This window comes from Homo sapiens, chromosome 6 (genome assembly GCF_000001405.40).
Source record: "Homo sapiens chromosome 6, GRCh38.p14 Primary Assembly".
Lineage (NCBI taxonomy): Eukaryota > Metazoa > Chordata > Mammalia > Primates > Hominidae > Homo > Homo sapiens.
In genome coordinates, this window is record NC_000006.12 from 148,212,822 (window position 1) to 148,228,454 (window position 15,633).

General features: G+C 41.5%; 1 protein-coding gene across 2 annotated transcripts in view; it reads left to right on the forward strand.

The window, feature by feature from the left end:
- Window positions 1-15,633, forward strand: part of SASH1 (SAM and SH3 domain containing 1) — a 358,577-nt gene that overhangs the window by 19,354 nt on the left and 323,590 nt on the right. The window lies entirely within an intron of this gene.

A 15,633-nucleotide genomic window follows, 5' to 3' on the forward strand; every position in this document is an offset into this window, starting at 1 on the left:
AGAGGAGTTTATTTGACCCAGGTCCCACAACCAGTGGAAAGTAACAGAGTGAGGCTTGAACCCAGTTTCTGTGCCTGAGCCATGCAGTCCGGTGATGGGGACGGTAGAGCAGCAAGCAATGGCTTCAGGGGAGGGGACTCAGGGACATCACTAAGCTTCTCCTGGTAAGAACAAGATAGCTTGTGATCCTCCTTTTACATTCTCCTGCCCCTGCCTGTGACATCTCCCACAGTTATTTTGGGTTTTATTTAAAAAGAAACAACTGCTGGGCTAGAGCCTTCTGTCAGCATGAAGTTCTAGCAATGCTGAGTTAGAGTGAAATCGAATTTTTGTAAAAACTCTAGCGTCCTTCAGATACATGAGAAGACCCCTAAGACCATAGTTTTAAAACTTTAAGCAGTCTCCAATTCCTTTGCAAACTTGATGAGAAGAACCCTCTCTGTGGGATATTGCACAGAAACCTCCACAGACTAAATTTTTCACTCTATTTCAGAGGCTCCTACCCACGAACCCCAGATTAAGAATCTGTATTCTCCGCTTTTATGGAATAAGTAAATTTTCTGTGACAAAAATTAATAGCAAAAAAAAGTTCAACTGGAAAGAGTCAAGATTATTTCAATTAATATGTCAATGATTCTGTGGAGATGTAATTGCTGTAGAAGCCTGGAATTCCCTAGCCAAAGGGTGTGTGTGTGTGTGTGTGTGTGTGTGTTTAAAGTGTTGAGAAAAGCACGGGGAAGGGAGGCTCAGGTGATTATTCTCATTTCTCAAGAAAATTACCCATACAGGTATTATTAAATCCTTACAGTTCTTTTGACCTCTCTGCTCTTATAAACAACCAACTGGTCAGTCCTGAAAACAGGCACTAGATTAGAGGTCGCTTTCAGTTCAGGATCTTGTCATTATCTCTGGTCTGTATGTGCTTGGAGACTTCGGATCTCCTAGGCAGGTTCCTTTTCATCATCTGCAATACTCAATTTGCAAACCACTGTCAGGGCCCTACTACAAAAAATCTCCAGCTGGCATCTTAACTGTCTAGTTTATTTTCCCCTTGCTCTTTTGATTTACTAGGGTTCTAAGCCATTATTTTCTAAAACTAAATGTTTCCTAGTCTTTTATATCTCTGCTTGATAGTTATGATAACCTGCTCCCAAGAGTATAAAACTAGAAATGATGAATAGAAGAATTGTGTTCGCCATTAGCCAACACAGAAAACAGCTTCTTCTCAGAAATTCAAAAAGTTGATAATGGCAGATTGGGGTTTTTACATGATTACCTTTATGACAGTTCTGTCACTCCACACCAAGTGCAATATATTCAGGCTGGCTTTTTTCTGACAGGAGTATCCATCGCTCCTGACACTGGACTGAGGTCTAATTCTGATTTGTGCATTTGGTAATTGACAGAAACTGATGGTGCGTGCATGTTGACGTGAAGTTAAAAAAATAGGCATGTTCGTACAAAATGCTTATATGCCCCTCATTTCGCACATGTTAATAATATAAGATGAAATGATACATGCAGTTGAGTGAAAATGGTTAGGTTCTTGAACTCTGTAGTTAATTTAACCTGGATTTGGATATTGAACCACTTTTCTGCTATATAACTATAGGTAAGTTACTCTATATCTCTATACTTCATTCTCTGACATTAAAATTAGTATTACCCCATAGAGGAGCTTCAAGTATTAATTGAGATAATACATGTAAAGCACTTACTTAGGACAGTGTCTAGTTCAATATGTGTTTTCTCTCATCAATATTACCTCTCAGAATAATAATGATTTCCCAGCTCTATTCTCCCACCAGATCCCTCTCCAACATTGTTTGTGCCTAAATACAACTGAGCCCCAAAATGTGCCTAGCTGTATATTTGGTATTTCTCTCAGCTCTGATATATTAGAGAATTCGTGCTTGGATGAGGGAGCGGGGAGGAAAGTCTCATGTTGCCATAGTGCTTTGCATGACATGAGATTTCATGCCGTTATTACCAACAGCTTTTTTATACTGTATAGCAGTCTGTAGGGGCTCAATGTGTTTCTGCTGAACTGAGCTGAAACAGGAGACAAAGAAAATGACTGTGTTCCTTGCACCTGCTTGCACTCTGGGGCCATCCCTGCCCTGGCCCTGTAGTCATCACTGGTAGATGGATGTAGAAGAGCTATTCCAGAACAAAACATTCTGAGGAGTCTGGCGGGCTCGTTCCTATCACCCTGGTGCCCAGGAGTCCAGGGATGCCTGGTTCATCTGGGATCATCATGGGAATTCTGCCATGCTGTCACTTGGCCCTGCAGAGAGTTGGACAGAAGACTGTGAGGGGTTCTGCCAGCACCTGGACAGGCTCCCTGTGAGAAGGGCCACTCACCTAGCTTTATGTTTTTGTCAGCTTTAAATTGCTTTCGGCCTAAAACCACCTGTCTTATTCCAACTGAAATTCAATAAGCATCTGGAAAAAAACAACCCAGTTTGGAAACCAGTAGGAAACCCAATCATTACCTTTCTTAGTTTGGCCAAAGTGTGCAAATCTTAGTTTCTTGTGAAACTTATGAAATTTTAAAATCTATGTCCCACTGAGGCAGTCATTCTAGAAAAGGAAAGGTTGATAAGACCTAATATGTTTAAATCATGCTAAATAAGTCTTCCACAACTTAGCTCAACAAAAGCTAACACTCTGGGCTTCTTCTGTTTGGGATGGGTGCTCTGGAGTGGAAAAAGGTTATCCTCATGAGGACAGATGCAGACATTTTGCCAGACTGCTGATGAGGGAACTTGTAATTTTTTAAAATCTTTAAAAATGGGATTCTCAGTAATAAACGGCCCTCTACGAGGTATCATAGAAAGCAACATTGTAATGACTATCTTATTTCTGATGATAAATTGTGGTGTCGTTTCATCGCATCCCCAGACGTCAGGGTCAACTGTAAAATCAGAGTCAACTTGCTGTGCTTGCTGGAACTTTTCCACAGCACTAAAATTTTGCTATGGTGTATAGTGGACAGAGCTAGCAGAAATATCTACTTTTTTATTTATTTATTTTATTTATTTATTTATTTTTGAGAAAGAGCCTTGCCCTGTCGCCCAGGCTGCCGTGCAATGGTGCGATCTTGGTTCACTGCAACCTGCACCTCCTGAGTTCAAGTGATTCTCCTGCCTCAGCCTCCCAAGTAGCTGGGATTACAGGCGCCCGCCACCACACCCAGCTAATTTTTGTATTTTTTAGTAGAGATGAGATTTCACCATGTTGGCCAGGCTGGTCTTGAACTCCTGACCTCAAGTGATCTGCCCGCCTCGGCCTCCCAAATTGTCCTAACTTCTTTTTATAAAAGAAAACCTTTTCCCTGGCAGAACTATACCAGCAATACCTTCTAATATGTAACAGTAGATTTTAAGTTTCTAGAATATGGATGACATGAAGGAATTTATAGTATTACTTTTCCACATCTACTTGTATCATTTTTTAGCTTCTGTTCTTTTTCCTACTACTTTTATTGTCTAAAGAGAAATACTCGGATTTCTTGCTTACTTGGCCTTCTGTACTTCGTTGTGCTTGTGCAGATTGGGTTTTTAATATTTATTTATTTTGGTAACTTTTTATTATGATAAGACTGGCTGGAGGGGGAAAAACATGAAGCATATTGAATTACTTACAGTGGCAAATGATATTGTTATTCTAATACCATGAACAAAAACAAAAAACAATGGGCTGGAGTCAGGACATGTGGGTTCTAACTCCTGTATCTCCAGGAAGACCGCTGGCATCTGGGGACATTTGTGTGAGACGACCAGTCAGGTCCGTCCAGCCCTGAATGATGGGGAGAGTGTCCCACAGTGCAGGGAAAGAGGATGAGATGGCAGTGCTGAAGCCAGCCTCTCTCAGCAGCACATTTTCTCCCTGACCTCATCTCTTTTTTCTTTTTCTTTTTTTTTTGAGACAGAGTCACGCTCTGTCTCCCAGGCTGGAGTGCAATGGTGCAATCTCGGCTCACTGCAACCTCCACCTCCCGGGTTCAAGCAATTCTCATGCCTCAGGCTCCCGAGTAGCTGGAATTACAGGTGCTCACCATGCCCGGCTAATTTTTTTGTTTTTAGTAGAGACGGGTTTCACCATGTTGGCCAGGCTGGTCTCGATCTCCTGACCTCAAATGATCATCCTGCCTCGGCTTCCCAGAGTGCTGGGATTATAGGCATAAGCCACCATGCCTGGCCTAATGTCTCTCATCTCTATCAGGAAGATAGTAATAGCATCCCTCCAAGCACCGCTAGAGACTTAGGTTAGGGAGTTAAATGAAATCCTGGGCTATAAAGCGCTTACCACTAGTCCCTGACACTGAGTCCCTGAGTACACACTGCTTATTATGGACCACATGGCCCCACTTAATCCTGAATAGCAACCTAGACAGACTCGAGCCAGACTGGCTGTGCCACCTTGGGCAAGTTGCTTAACCTCTCTGAGCCTTGTCCTTAACACAGTGACAATAATATGCATAGCATAGGATTGTTGTAAGGACTTTAAAAATCTTGATAGGAATATTGCTTACTGTTTGGCATGTGCTGCGTACTTGCTGAGTGACACTCCATAACCCAGTGGCAGTTATTGAAGCAAAGTGCTTTACCATGTTATCACTTTCCATCCTCACAGTAGCCTATGTGGTACCGTTTTGTTCTTATCCCCATTTTACAGACAGGAAAACTGAGAACATCATCCAGATCACACAGCCAGCATGTGGTGGAGGCAGGGTTCAAACGCAGGTCCTCCTAATCTAAAGCCCACCAGCCTTACAGTCTGTGGTGGGCCTGTATCCCTCAGGAAACAGCCAGGGCAGTCTAAACTGCTAAGATGCTTCCAGCGCAGGCCCAGGCACCAATATCCTGAGGAAGGATGTCAAGAATCTAGAACACCCAGGCCAGACTCACTGGCTCTCGCCTATAATCCCAGCACTTTAGGAAGCTAAAGTGGGAGGTGGGAGGATCCTTTGAGGCCAGGAGCTTGAGACCAGCCTGGGCAACATAGTGAGATCCCATCTCTAAAAAAAAAAAAAAAAAAATTAGCCGGGTGTGGTGGTGTGTGTCTGTAGTCCCAGCTACTGGAGAGGCTGAGGCAGGAGGATCACTTGAGCTCTGGAGTTTGAGGCTGCAGTGTGCTATGATGGCACCACTGCACTCCAGCCTGGGTGAAAGAATGAGACTCTGTCTCAAAAAAAAAAAAATAAATAAAAAAAATGAATCTTGGGCACTTGTAGTTCAAGAAGCTCCCGTTCCCAGGCACCCCAGCACCCTCATTTGCAAACCAGATTCATGGCTGAGTGTAGCAACACTGCCAAGAGGGCACTGCATACACTCTGCTTAAAAGTCAAGCACTTTTGAAAACATCTGCTTGAAATTGTGAGCCACTGATTGAAATGAAATGAAAAAAAAATAAAAAAACTTAGCTGCCAAGCAACCATGGAAAGAGGAAGAGGAAAAAAGAACCAGCGACAAACAGCTAGTAAACACATCGCCACAGATGGTCACACAATAAGACCCCAACCCAAAAACATAACCTAACATGTAAAGATGACAGAGGTTTTTGCCAAAAGTTATTTTACGCTTCAGTAAGGGGAACAGAAAACTGTTCTTTTTCTGTTGAATGGCACAAATCTACAGGGCTCATTTTCTTTAGTGGGACATTCCTCTACTTTGTTGGTTCTAACACAACACAGCTGCCCCAGTGCAACTAAGCTGGTGGGTATCTGACTTTTGCAGGAAAAAGGGTCCCTGGCCTTTGTCCTCACTGCTCTGGTGGCAGAAGGAGAGCTGGTGCTGGGACCTTGGAGGGAGAGCTTCCTCCTCCCTCCCAGCTGCCACATCAGGACAGAAAACTGACTCCTGCTAGCAGTACTTTGGAAGAAGTTCTGCTCTGGACTTTGTAGGTCACGCAGTCAGAGGGATTTAAATCCAGGCAGTTCAGAGTCCACACCACCTTGTGAACCCTTCTGCTTCTCTGTGATGATAGTTTAACCTTATCTGACCTTGGCTAGTGTGCCTGCCTCAGAAAGGATTTGTTTATCCTTAATGAAAAGGATCTTGCATTTTTATAAACTCTGAAATATCCCTCTTCCAATCCAAAATGAGCATAACTTAGAACTCAGAGCTGAAATTGCATGTTCATGCTCAGCCTGAAAGTGGATGGAGGTGCTGAGGTAAGGACTGGGCTTCCTTGGAAAGACCTTAGGGAGGACCACAGGCTCATGGGAGCCAGGATTGGCCTTGGTTATAGGAACAGTGTTCAAAACATGCCCACGCAGCATCCTCACTTCTCAGAAACAGAAGAGCCTTCCTAGGAATCAAACAGCCTGGCCACATTTTATCTTGCGAAACTATTTGGCCTAGGTTCTCCATCTCCCTCACCTCCTACATCTAATTGATTCTCTCCTCATTGTAGAAATTCCAGGAGCCCCTTTCTGCTTTCCCTTCTTTTTACTTCATATCTTAAACTTTGCAGTAACGTTGCCAATCTCCTTGTTTTCTCTCCTATTTTCTCATCCACCCTGCACAGAAATGTCTGATTATCTCTTCCCCTATGCAAAAGAATTCAGACCTCCCCATTTCCCCTATGATCAAAGTTCAGTCTTTATCCTCAAATTCTTCTGACGCTATGATGATTCCCACTCAGCTGCATGCATTATCTCCTCCAAACTCGTTTTTCCCTAGTCCTTTAACACGCCTCATGATTCTCACCTGTTAACCTGTCACCTTTATCCTCCCAAACAACGCAGATACAGGTGAAATGGCCCTCACTCTGGCTCCACACTTAAGGGGACCCTCCTCTGGCCTTCCTCCTCCTTCTGGGGCAAAAAATTGGCAGAGCTAAGGGAACGTACCCACTGAGCCCACATCCTGCTATCTGGTCCATGCCTGGGACACCTGAGACCCTGCTGCAATGGTTCAATGGCAGCTTTCATGACCTGTGCAGGTGATGGGGAAATGGACTGAGTTTAGACTTGCAGGCCTGGGTGTTTCCCCACGTGCATAGGAGGCTCTTTACAGCACAGGTGGAACCTGAGGGGAGGGTCCGGGATGGGAGTGTGACATGCAAAATGGTGCATGGTATTGAGGAAGCCAAAAGAGTTTCAAGAAGAATGGAATAGTAGATAGTGGCAACTATAGCAAAGGTGAAATAGGACATGCACTGAAACATACATGTGGGTTTGGCAATTTGGAGGTCTCTTCATCTAAGCCTGCGAAAGCACCTCCAGTAATTCTTCTCATTTTGAAGTCAAATCTATTTTTCTTAGTCTGTTCGTGCCACTGTAACAAAATACCACAGACTCAGTAATTTATAGAGGATAGAAATTTACTTCTCACAGCTCTGGAAGCTGGAAAGTGCAAGACCAGGCACAGACAGTTTCAGTGTCTGGTGAGGGCCCCGTCTCTGCTTCCTCAATGGCACCTTCAACTCTGTATCCTCATATGGCAGAAGGGATAGAAGAGCAAAAGGGGGATGAACGCTGTGTGCTCACATGGCGGAAGTGCAGAAGAGCGAAGAGGTCTGAACTTGTTCCCTCCAGCCGTCTTGTAAGGCACTAATCCATTCATAAGGGTGGACTTAATCATCCATGACAATCACTTCCCAAAAGACCCTACCTCTTAATACCACCACAATGAGAATTAAGTTGCAACGTTAATTCTAGCGGGACATATTCAAACCATAGCAGTACTCATATTATTACAACTACACTACTAGTTGAACTAGTAGTTGTGGGAATAGCAATGATTGGATGGGGAAAACAAGAGTAAATGGCCAATACCAACAGATACATGAAAAAATGCTCAGTCTGGACATGGTGGCTCATGCCTGTAATCCCAGCACTTTGGGAGGCTGAGGCAGGCAGATTGCTTGAGGCCAGGAGTTTCAGACCAGCCTGGCCAACATGGTGAAACCCCGTCTCTACTAAAAATACAAAAATTACCAGGCATGGTGGCACGCGCCTGTAGTCCCAGCTACTCTGGAGGCTGAGGCATGACAATCACTTGAACCCAGGAGGCAGAGGTTGCAGTGAGCCGAGGTCGTGCCACTGCACTCCAGTCTGGGCAACAGAGTGAGACTGTGTCTCAAAAAATAAAATAAAATGTGACCAATAGACCCCATATCTAACAAATGATTTCTGCATAGTTCATCATTAAAACAAAATCCCTCTTTTTTCCCTCCACTTATGTAAATTTAATTTATTCCCATTTATTAAAGCTACTTTCTGGGACTTGAAAATGCTTTCTAAATGTTCATTCCATTTTTACATTTGCAATCCACTCCATTCAACACGTCTTACTGCAGATTGAATTGCTTGCTAAATTTGAAAGAGATCAATAAATAGCAGCAAAAACTACAGGAGGTCATTTATTTTTTTTTATTATTAACAGGCCCAATAAATCTGAGCCTATTTTCTTCAAATAAATCAGCTGGAAATAAAAAATTGCTTTTGAGTAATTTACAAGGTTAAACCTCAAAATAAAATTTTACTTTCATTCGTGACTGGTATTAACATGACAGAGCCTCAACAGAGCTTGCTTAGTACTGAATTTATATCCACCATTTGCACAAATATCTTTTGCATAGCTGTATGCAAGGAAGTGAATAGATCTGAAACGTAACAGACTGAGACTACAAACACAGTGAATAGGCAGAAGTCCTCTGTATTTAAAGGGTTTGGGGAACATATGATAATTCTGATTTTTACACAACATTTCTCCAGGAACGTTTCATTTTGAAAATGACCTGGATCCCACAGAATTTACAGTGGCTACTTTAAGGCAGGAGGAAGGTGCCTGTAACTTCCAAGGCTGATTTGATTTGAGTTCATCTAGACAAGGGGTGATATTGCTTTGGCTACAGCCCAGAGCATAATTTTCCCTTTGGTGAGCTGCGGTGGTTGTGAACAGAGATTAATTGGCTGATTAGAATTTCAAAGGGCACTGATAACAGTGGTGAAGAGAAGGAAGTGACAGGAGAAGTTCAAGTCCATTAAAACACTTCACAGTGACTGAGTCTTTCTCCCATTCTGCAAGATTCCTTTCCCTGCGGGTCACTTAGCCTGTTCTTTACTTCTCACTCTTCCTCGTAGTAGCCTTCTTTATGTTTCCCTTTACCTCCTTTCTTCAGCCTCTTCCTTTGCATCTTTTTTCACTACCCATAAAATAAAACTGAAAAACATTCCTCTCTTCCTTTATAAAGTTTTATTTTCCCTCTTCTTAAATTCAAAAGCAAGGTGAACTTCTTCTCCCCTTCTAACCTATGGTCTCCCTGGTCAATGTGTGGGGCACCTTTGCTTTTCCTCCTTCACATTAAGGGGCCACAATATCAAATGTATTCCCATGCAATGGAGCCCCTTAGGTAGCTGAGGAATAGTGTGAATTTGTTTGGGCAGATAAATCAACAATTAGGATGTTTCCCAGACACAATCCCTATCTATGTCTTTAATACCATAGCCACAGAAAAATATTTCACACATTTTCCTTCTTGCCTTAATTAAAACTATTTAGGCAAGTGAATGAAGCGATTCCTGAGGTGGGGAAGGTGCTAGCACAGAGGCTGGAGGTACTCCTCTCTCTGCAGGCTCCTAAGCTGGAAAGGAGATTGGGGCTGCACCCTCAGGAAGAGACACCGAGATCATTCAATGCCCTGTGCACTTCAAATCGCTTCTGCCCCATAGAGCTGCTGAGATTTTGCACCAAGAAGTGAACTACATAAGCCTCTGACTTCCAGAAAGATTTGCAACTTGTTTGTCAAGTTAGTACTGAAAACATTACGGTTATGACTACATACATAATACACATAAGGAAATGTTGAATAATTGCATAATAATTCTCCACATAAGGAAATGTTGAATAATTACATTGAATCATTTTACTACCATTATCTTATAAATTTTATTATTGCAAAGGGTTTTGTGTTTTAGGTTTTTTCCCCCTCCTTCCCCTTCGATCTCTCTCTCTCTCTCTCTCTCTCTCTCAGTCCCTCCAAATATGTTTACTAAGCAACTCCTAGTAAACAAGGGAATGGAAACTTCTCTTATCATTACATCACAGGGCTGGGGGCTTCTGTTTCTGACTGTGTCTTAGTTACACCTACCGGACCTCTTGGTTCCTCCTCTCCTTATTTATATAATGAGGATAATAGTACTTCGCATGCGAACTGAGTCTCAGATGGACAGTAACTAAATGTTATTAAATATGGTCATCATCCTGAAACATTCTGGGCACGGCCAAGGCAAACAAAGGATGATGCTGAGAACTCTCTTAAAAAAGACCCAAGAATTGAAAATGTTCCTGGAGAGGCAGCGGAGCATGGTGGATAAGAGCCTAGACAGAGAGAGAGCCGAGCTGTCTGGATTTGAATGCCAGTCCTGCCTCTAACTAACTAGGTGGGCCTCCAATCTCAGTTTCCCCAAATGTGAAATATAGTTATATCTGTGACCCCCCTCAGAGGCCTGTAACTAGGATTACATGAGTTAATATTTATAAAGTTCTTAGAACAGTGCTTTGAATATCAAAGTGCTGTGTAAATAAAAATTTCACATTTCAGATTATGCTGGAATCAAGTCACTGCTTTGTCTGAAAAGATGCAGTCATGATTGTTGTCACTCATAAGCGAGACTGAGTTCAACCAAGAGGCTTCCGCTGATGTGGGTTACAAGTGACCACATGACAGAGGACACAGCAATCCATTGACTGTTTGTCTTTAAACTATGTTGCTTCTCTGCCTCCTAACAATGTTCGCTCATGTAACCCACCCATTTTAAATGTGATGTCTCAGATTCTATTATAACTTCATGTGAGTTTATTTTTTTAACTAGAGGGTAGAATATATGCAATGAGATAAAACAAGGAGTGACTAATTGCAGGACATAGCTCATGACTCAATTTCAAAAAAATAGACTTAGCCTACTTTATTCAATAAAGCATGACCAAGCTCAAAGAAATGACATAAAATGCTGATGTGTAGATTTATCAATTATATCACCAAAAACTTTGGTAGACCCACAAAACATTCTTGTTGCATTTGAAAAGATCAGCCTCAATAATCTATACTGCTTTGGCTCTTTGGAATTGAGAACATCCATATCTCTATATATGTATAATCTAAAATATCACTTTACCAGCACCAAGATTTTACAGAATTTTGTATATAACAGAGAAAAATAAAAAGTCTTACATGGGCCAGGCACAGTGGCTTATGCCTGTAATCCCAACATTTTGGGAGGCCAAGGCAGGAGGATCACTTGAGGCCAGGAGTTTGAGCCCAGCCTGAGCAACATGGTGATAGCTTGTCTCTACCAAAAATTTTAAAAAATTAGCCAGGTTCGGTGTCTCACACCTATAATTCCAATGCTTTGGGAGGCTGAGGCGGGAGGATCACTAGAGCCTAAGAGGTCAAGGATACAGTGAGCTATGATCATGCAACTGCTCACTCCAGCCTGCCCCTCCAAGCAACAAAAAAAAGTAGAAGAAAGCCTTATGTGTTTAGGTTGCCTTGATGCCTTGATGAATCATTAGAGAGGCTTCCCCCCAGCCTTTTTTTTTTTGAGACAGATTCTTGCTCTGTTGCCCGGGCTGGAGTGCAGTGGTGCGATCTTGGCTCACTACAACTTCTGCCTCAGGGGTTCAAGCAATGATCCTGCCTCAGGCTCCCAAATAGCTGGGATTACAGGTGCCTGCCACCACCTTTGGCTAATTTTTGTATTTTTAGTAGAGATGGGGTTTCACCATGTTAGCCAGGCTGGTCTCAAACTTCTAGCTTCAAGTGATCCGTTCTCCTGGGCCTCCCAAAGTGCTGAGATTGCAGAAGTGAGCCACTGCACCCGGCCTCCATTATTTTTATTTATACTTTTATTTAGCTCTTTAGCAGTTTGCACACCCCTGAGCAATGCCCCATAGTAATATTGGGAATGAGTAATGAGATGGGAGATGGGTATAGTTTTATTTTTTATAAATTGATAGAAAAAATTTTGCGTAAATGTTTTCTAAGCAATTATGAACCAACTTTTCCTGAAAGTAGATCATCTTAGGAAAAAATAGTTATGGAAGTTGAGAACATCGACACTGATTCCTTCCCAAAAAATCTGGGCCTTTGTATAGGTGACCCATCGTGGCTCCACAGCTTCCTTCTTGCAGACAGATGTGGGAGAAGTGGTTCCCAAGGACCGCTGGGATGGTTAGTGGAAGTGAGTAGGAAGAAATATTATGGTTTCCTATTACAGGTGAAGATAGAACAAACTGGAAGGCAAACAGAGCAAGAGGAGCCCCTGGTTATGGGTGGAAAGAAGTCCTGTGATTGTCTTAAGCATTGGAGTGGCTATTGTTAACGCAACTCCATCACTTCCTTCACCCTGCACACTTCAGATACCAGTTTTAACTGTGTTCCTAATTGCAATACACCAAAGGTTATGGACAGAGTTACACTTACAGAAGTAATTTATGAAGAATATATATTTAGGTTTTTCATAAATCTAATTCTTTATCATCTGTACTTTACAAATAAAGATTGAGAGTAGATTAAAAAGTGTGGTATATGTACACCATGGAATACTACTCATCCATAAAAAGGAATGAAATAATGTTTTTTGCAGCAACTTGGATGGAGCTGAAGGCCATTTTTCTAAGTAAAGTAACTCAGGAATGGAAACCCAAATATCGTATGTTCTCACTTATAAGTGGGAGCTAAGCTATGAGGATGCAAAGGCATAAGAATGATATAATGGACTTTGGAGACTGAAGGGGAAAGGGTGGGAGGGGAGTGAGGGATAAAAGAAGACACATTGGGTACAGCATACACTGCTCAGGTGACAGGTGCTCCAGAATACCAGAAATCACCACTAAAGAACTTGTCCATGTAACGAAAAACCGCCTGTACCCCAACAACTATGGAAATTTTTAAAATAAAATAAAAATAAAGGTTGAATTGCTAGATAACAACCCAGTGAGGCTGTTACTGTCTTTCTGGTCTTTCTCCAAAAAATGAGAAATCTATAAATATTCAGAAGCTTTGTCTACATCAAAGTGACCAACAGAACTTTGCAAATGAGAAACAGCAAATATTTGCAAGATAATTGGCATTTCATTCTTAGAGAAAGCTGTTTTCTAACAACAATAGTTTAGCATTTTTGCTCTCATTTTATTTAAAAGTAGACCCAATGGAGAAACTGTAGTTTAGAAGAAAAGACAGTATGAAAAGGAAGCCACTTTCCCCTCTCATCTCCATACATAATGTATGATTGTGGGAGAGCTCTCTGGGGAAACAAACAGGCAATTGATTGCAATGACTATTCTCTATTTATTCCAGTGATAAAAATGAAAGACTGGACTCCACATCAGATTTTTTTTATTAAAGAACTTAAAGAAAAATGGTTTATTTGATGTCTTATTACATCATAAACACTTAACAAATTTCTAAGCATTCATTTTATTTTAGCATAATACCACTACTTAATGGATTGATTTTTTAATTGTAGGAAATTCAGGTATTTGTTTTCAATCCTGATTTTTTAAATTCTATAGTTGCTTTTCCCTGAAGTAAAAATAAATGTGACAATCATAAATGGAGTGGGGAGGTAATGCATGCCTACATACACATTTAATCGTTCAGTCAGGATGCTCATTATATATGTGCATTTGTATCTACTTTTATCTGTCAAAATGCTTTAGGCTGCTGGTAATAGAAAACTCAGCTCAAAGTGGTTTAAACAGCAAGGAAAATGCATTATCTCCCACAACGCGAAGTGGGGCACCTCCGGGGTTGGACAATTCTGTAGCTCAACTGTGTCATCAAGAATATAGTTTTCTCTCTTCTTTCTTCTGTGCCTTCGAGGACACGTAGCCTGTGTATTCCCACTGGCTTCTTTATGGTTGCAAAATGGCTGTTGTAAGTACACTTATGTCACTCAGGACACCATCTGATTTCCAGTGGTAGAAGAGTCCATCTCTTTTCCGGTATCTTTCTCTTTTTAGGAGCCAGGCAACCTCTCCGGAAGCTGGGGTCCTACCTCAAGTCTCATTAGCAAGGATTGGGTTATATGTCTCTGCCTACAACACTCACGATCAAAGACAGTAGGAATGCCCTGATTGGTTTAGAGAGTTCAGGTTAACCCTTAAGCTCCATTGGGGGTGGGGAAGTAGTATATTCAACAAAATTTTGGATTGATGAGCAGGGAAACTTGGAGTCAGGAGGTGGTCTGAGGTGGCTGTTGGGGAGGCAACAATACCAAACATTTATTAGCCTAAGTATAGCTCTACGAAGTATGAATGTTACTAATTCTGAAATGTTCCTTGTGGTTTTAGGCACCCTAGCCTTTAAAATGAGCAATCTAGAATTTGGACACCATGTTGCTTTATTTTCTTAATGACTATCAGAAAAGGTTTATGTACAAAGTTGTTTTTGTCTCTCTCCTCCATTAGAAGGTAAATTCCTGGAGAGAAGAGACTGTATTTGTCTTGTCCATAGCTGCATCTCCAACATCTAGAACAGTTTAATCAGCATATGGTAGGCACTCAGGAATTTGTTTGTTTGTTTGTTTGTTTGTTTTGAGACAGAGTCTCACTCTGTTGCCCAGGCTGGGGTGCAGTGGTGCAATCTCAGCTCACTGCAACCTCCGCCTCCCGAGTTCAAGCAATTCTCCTGCCTCAGCCTCCCAGGTAGCTGAGATTACAGGCATGCACCACCACACCCAGCTAATTTGTGTATTTTTAGTAGAGATGGGGTTTCACCATGGTGGCCAGGCTGGTCTCAAACTCCTGACCTCAGGTGATTTGCCTGCTTTGGCCTCCCAAAGTGCTGGGATTACAGGCACTTTGAGCCATCATACCCAGCCAGGAAATATTTATTGAATAAATGACAAAAATTGCAATTAGAATGTTGTAATCCCTCTCCAATCACAGTGTATGTTTTTATATTGCAAACTGAATATGTACATTCCTGTATCTTTTTGTACACACATGGTTCCATTCCATCACCTGAAATAGGAGAAAACCACAATAGTTATTGTCCACTCTTCCATTAAGGTGGTTCTGTGACATGGTGCAAAGAAGAGGTTTGATCATGTCATACTCCGATGTAACCTCAGGATAGAAAAACACAGCTGGAAAAACACCTGTAAGCACCACAATAACATAAAAAAAGTACCCAAGCATTGGGCCAAGACTGGCAGACACAAAGCAGGGAAAATTCAAGTGCAAGAAACATTACATTTCAAGCTAGTACAGACTGGTTTGAAAACTGTAAGAGGATTCATCCTCTAACCTCTAAACATACAATTTTTGATGTGCCTGCAAAAATTATATCATGAATAATTGAAGTCGATTGTGAAGAGTTACCTACTCCAGCAGGGTTTTTGATATGGACTATTTCAATTTATTTTAGAATTTATATAGATATGTATGATATCTTTTTTCAGATATGTAACCCCTGGAGGTGTTGAGATTTAATAGTATTTTTAATAGCACTGAATATTTTACTTATCCGTTATTTCTAATACTTATTAAGCACCCTCACCCTTAAATTCTAAGAGACAAAACTGTCAAAGAAATCACAATTCCTCCTTTTAAGTATCTTATGGTCTAGAATAAATGCTGAGACACCCATGTGAGCAATTATAATTCAAGGTTG